This window comes from Homo sapiens, chromosome 6 (genome assembly GCF_000001405.40).
Source record: "Homo sapiens chromosome 6, GRCh38.p14 Primary Assembly".
NCBI classification, from domain to species: Eukaryota; Metazoa; Chordata; class Mammalia; order Primates; family Hominidae; genus Homo; species Homo sapiens.
The window spans coordinates 105539405-105545404 of NC_000006.12; positions in this window are offsets into that span (position 1 = coordinate 105539405).

The following is a 6000-nucleotide window of genomic DNA, read 5'->3' on the forward strand; positions in this document are numbered from 1 at the left end:
ATGTTGAATACTGAAAAGTTAGAATGAAAAAAAATCATGTGATGTTATTTTTAAAAAGCTTGGTAAATCAGCAAGGAAAGAGAAGACATATTCACATACTTTGTAAGGTATGTTTTTATACCAAACATGTGTTGCAGTGTGTACACATGTTCTTAGAAAGAACAGATTTGCCATGAGTACCCAAAAGGAAGGTGTGCTTTGAATGGTTGTTGTAATCCATGAAGTGAGAAGGATTTTACTATGAAAAGAAGTACCCAATTAGGTGATACTTGTTTTTTTGAGACAGGGTTTTGCTCTGTTGCCCAGGCTGGAGTTCAGTGGTACCAGCCATCGTGGCTCACTGCAGCCTCCATCTCCGTGGCTGAAGCTATCTTCGCACCTCAGCTTCCTGGGTAGCTGAGACCACAGGTGCAGGCTACCATATCCAGCTAAATTTTAAATATTTTGTAGAGATAGGGTCTCACTAGGTTGCCCAGTCTGGTCTCAAACTCCTGGGCTCAAATGGTCCTCCCACCTCAGCCTCCCAAAGTGCTGAGATTACAGGTATGAGCCACCACGCATGGCCGTGATTCTTGTTTAAATATTCTCTATCTATATTGGGGTAGGTTCAAATCTAAATACTAAAAATTCTGCTATTTTATTTTCACACAACCAAAGGTTGCGAAACATAGTTTTGAAAAGATAAAATGCTATGACATGACTGAGAATTACAACACTGGTAATTTGGAGAGGCAATACTACTCAGTGAAGAAAGACCAGTCTTAGAGGCAAATAGTTCTGGGTTCAAATCCCAGCTCCATCCTTTAGCTGCTTGACCTTATGAGAGGTATAAAATTTTTTTTTAAAAAATTGCTAATTCATCGGCAAAGTGCGAAAAATATTACCTATTTTTCTAGGTAAAAAATGCATTTATAGTACTTGACACATAGTATATTATCAACAAATATCATTTATTATTATTTTACTTCAGCTCACTTGTCCTGTTAATTACCATTAAGAACTCAGGCACCAGGATAAGAATCAACACAGCTGTATTGCCTGGTGATAAAAATGGCTCACTAGGCTGGGTGCGGCAGCTCACGCGTGTAATCCCAGCACTTTGGGAGGCTGAGGCCTGTGGAATGCTTGAGCTCAGGAGTTCAAGACCAGCCTGGGCAACATGGTGAAACCCTGTCTGTACAAAAACACAAAAAAAATTTAGCCAGGTATGGTGGCAGGTGCCTGTAATCCCAGCTACTCAGGCGACTGAGGTGGGATGATCATTCAAACCCAGGGGCAGAGGTTGCAGTGAGCTGTGATCCTGCCACTGCACTCCAGACTGGGTAACGGTGACAGAGCAAAACTCTGTCTAAAAAAACAAACAAAACAAAACCAGGCTCACTAGTTGGGAACGTATGTGACCCTACTGTAAATGAGTGGAAATGGACTAAGGGGCAGCACTCACTAGACTAGTACTGCTACCAGCAACCTGGACCAGCATAGTGGCTGAACCTAGTGTCTCTCCCAAAGATGGAAAAATTTGGGTAAAAAGTGGAGAAAAGGAAGAATAATAGCTGAGGGTAAAGAAATGAATAAATAGGTTATAAATGGAGGGGCATCCAATATTACATTATCAACTCTAAATAGCCTCAGAGCAAGAGATGGCCTTATCTCTTAGCTCAGTGATTCCAGATGCCTGAAAGGGTGAAGCTGTGTGTTTGCCGAGACCACTCCTGCTTTTGGAACCTGACGAGATTGAAGGAAAGTCTACAAACTTGAGTGGCCTCACCCTGGGAGACATTCAGACAATATGATGGACTGGACTACTTATTAAAAATTGTGTACATTCATTTTGCCATAAGGGATATGTGGTCCACAACCAGGGTGTGACCTGTGGTGTTATGACATATATTCTGGTTTTTGTTATATATTTGGTTTCCTGGCTTGTAACTCCCATAGCCCTTGTCATGGTCTTGCTATAATGTGGAGTGTGTTAGGCCTCAGGGGCAGGCCTCAGGAAATGGAATCTCTCTCACCTTCTCCTACCTTCCTTTCACCTGCCCCAAGGCAGGACTCTAATATTCTCCTACCTTTCTGACTGTAGGTCATAAGATCCTCCCCAGAGAGGGTCCAGCTTTATACCCTGGGAGAAGAAATGTTGGCTTTATGAAGCTTCCATAAAAACCCAAGAGGACTGGGTTTGGGGAGCTTCTGGATAGCTGAACACAAGGGGGTTCCTGTTATGCCCAGGGAGGGCATGGAAGTGCTGCACCCCTTCCCCCATACCTTTCTCTAGGCATCTTTTCATCTGTATCCTTCGTAATATCCTTTATAATAAACTGGTGCATATATTAAAAAAAAAGAACTCAGGCACATATCTCAAATCTTCTCTTTTGGATCTCAGTGTGAAAAGTACAGCTAATAATTATACACATCTGATTATAAGGACTGTTACAAGACTTCAAGTCAATAAGGTACCATATCAGTATAAAGTCCTAAGTATAAAGTACTATGGAATATAAACACAGAAAATATTTTTCAAACTCAAAGAATAGATGAAAATTGGCAATGGCAGAGGTCCAGGGAAGGGAATTATACCAAGTTGTCATTATGGGTTTATTTACTATTCGTTCTTTTTCTGGAAACATGGAGAACTTATCATTTACAAATTAAAGGAAAGCCACATTTAATAGTGCTTTTCAAAAAAATTCAAAAGAGAGACTTTAGTTGGCACGCCACATAACCAAAATAATATGTATATCAGTAACTCTCCAGACATCAAAGTTTCTATTCAGTAACTAGTTACTCTGTCTATCATTTTAGGGATCTTGCCTGTTTGGCTTTAGCTGGTGATCTTTTTTCTTTCTTTCTTATTTTAGCTAATGGATAGAGGTATCGCTACTTCCTGGGTTTCTGGTGGTTCTGAACCTTGGCCCACAAATGTGCTAAAGTATAAAATGAACGCTTTGGCATTCTGTTTTAGGCATATTATGAGAGAAAGAGACCATGTCCAAAGGTCACACTGAGATCCTTAGGGAGAAAAAGCTCAGGGTAGAAAGATGGGATGTCAGAGGAGCCCCTGGCCCTGGTACAGGTTACGTCCCGACTTGTGAGTCTGTTGTGCCACTTACAAGAAAGTCATCTTATTTTTTTTCTTACTTTCTTCTTTAAAAAACAAAAGATGATAAAATATTAACAACTGTACATGCAACTCTGCTGTTTAAGAAATGCTTTCGACCCCATTATTTCATTTCCTTCTTCTCATCTCCCTTTGAGACAGGGAGAAAATGGATTCTTCCCTCCCCACATTTTCTAGGTGAGGTCTTATGGTTTGTCCAAGTGACACCTGTAAAATTTAAGAGACAGAAATTTAGACTGAACTTTTTTTTTTTTTTTTTTTTGAGACGGAGTCTTGCTCTGTCGCCCAGGCTGGAGTGCAGTGGAGTGATCTCGGCTCACTGCTAGCTCCGCCTCCTGAGTTCACGCCATTCTTCTGCCTCAGCCTCCCGAGTAGCTGGGACTACAGGTGCCCGCCACCATGCACGGCTAATTTTTTTTTTGTATTTTTAGTAGAGACGGGGTTTCACCATGTTAGCCAGGATGGTCTCGATCTCCTGACCTCGTGATCCACCCGCCTCAGCCTCCCAAAGTGCTGGGATTACAGGCGTGAGCCACCGCGCCCGGCTAGACTGAACTTCTTAGATCTTGAGCCCTTTCTCCTGATGACTAAGTTTCCAAAGTGCTCTATGGAATATTAGCTTCATGTGATACTGTATGATAAACAGTTCCATTGCCAAAGAAGATAAGAAACATTGTATTAAAGAACGTTCAACTGTTTTCTCTATTGCAGGCCCTTGATATGGTAGCATGTCATATGAACAGTATAGAAGAAGGAAAATGTGCCGTAATTCCCTAAAATCATTCGTCCAGGATTGTCTACAAGTCAGATAAGATGATTACTTTAGGGGAAAACTGTTCTATATATCATACTTTTCAAGGAGCACAGATACTTTAGTAGATGTTTAATAGTTAAAAATTCTGCTTTAGCCCCTGGCTATGTCCTCAGAACTTGACTGCCATGTTGTAACCATAATCCCCCTGCCTGTGGGGAGGGAGGAGGCACTGCCTTTTGGTCCAGGTACCCCAATGGGTTCACATTTTCACAAAGGTCCAAGAAAGTGGAGAAATTTGTTTTAATTTAGAAACTATTATGATATAGAGAAAATAGTCTTCAATTTCGACCATGTGTATTATTTTAAAAGTTGTCTTGCCTTAGACTTTAGTACGAAAGTTAAAATAAGCCATTCCTTATGTTTTTGAGTCGTATTGAGTCTGTCCGGGGAGCTCTCAGGGCATTTTTGAAAAGGGAGATGGATGTCACCATGTGGAACTAATAGTGTTTTTTGTGGGGGACAAAAAAGAATATTATTTTGTGTTATGTGGACTCATTCCCAAGGGAATATACACAGAAAAATTAGAAAGAAAACCTTCCCACTATTGGTGAAACAAATGAAAGATTCTGTTTTCACTGGCTTACAAAATAATCTCCCAAATGTTTAACAACAGTATTTTTATTTCTCTCATTTTAGATGCTTCATGGGGATAAAAGATTGAATTTACAAGTGGAAAATAGCCATACATACAATTTCAACCATCCACATTAAAAACTGGTAGCATCTCATGTTTTTAATTAATAGCATTACTACCATTCACTTTAACTCGTATGGGATTAATGCTAGTGAATGTGCTATAATCTCATTCCAAACAGAACTGCCAAAATAGAAAAATGGCTACAGAGACAGATGCAGTAGATACATTCCTGTCATTATGGTTTTTACCTAAGATACTTCAAATGCATAGCTGGTATAAAGGAACTGTGAATGTTAAGGATATATCCATACCCTAAAAGATAAGGTTCAACCTAAAGGAGTAAGAATCCATCCAATGAGATGGGCTAGAAAGCAATTTCAGCTACTCATCTGGGTACTTAGAGTCAGGACTGGATTCAAACCCAGTATTGGGTTTTAACTTCTCTCTAAGCCTCAGTTGCTTATTTGTAAAATAGGGATAGTCTTGCCTATTTTTCAGAGGTGTGGTGACGATGAAATGAGATCATGTAGGCAGAGACTAAATGTTCTGATTTAGCCTAATTACTAAGTAACTATTTTCTTCACCTGAACAATATTAGGGGTAAGGTAGGGAGATTGACAATTTGAGAAACCTTTAATAAAACTGCTGAATTGGCCTGTGCAGTCAAATCAAATAAGCCTTGCTCTCTGGAAATGTTCCTCCAAACAATGCAGGACATTTTATTTCTTTCTAGACCATTATGTATCTCCATGTTCACTGCAAAGACTCCCTATTAAGAAGTGAGCAAACACGCCTGTAATCCCAGCACTTTGGGAGGTCAAGGAGGGCAGATCACTTGAGGTCAGGAGTTCGAGACCAGCCTGGCCAACATGGCAAAACCCGTCTCTACTAAAAATACAAAAAAATTAGCCAGGCGTGGTGGCGGGCACCTGTAATCCCATCTCCTCAGGAGGCTGAGGCAGGAGAATCACTTGAATCCAGGAGGCGGAGGTTGCAGTGAGCTGAGATCATACCACCGCACTCCAGCCTGGGCGACTGAGTGAGACTCTATCTCAAAAAAAAAAAAAAAAAAAAAAAAAAGCAAAAAGGATCTTTGCTCTACTTCTGAGATTCTGACATTTATAGGTTTTCTTGATAGTCCTACTAAAATGGCCAAAAAAACACAAAAAAACAACAAAAAAATATTCTTTAGTCTGAAAAAGCAGAGGTTGAGATCTACAAAATTATCCAAAGTGTGGGGGAAGAAAACACATTTGTTTACAAATGTGATTTAATTGAATGAGAAAAATCACCTGTAAAATTCAAGAGACAGAAATTTAGTTCAAACAAGAATAAACCACTTCACACAGTAAATAGTATATGTTACTTATTATTGGATAGAGATATAAATCACTTCTCAAGTAGTTAGCTGAATTCATGGATGACAGATCC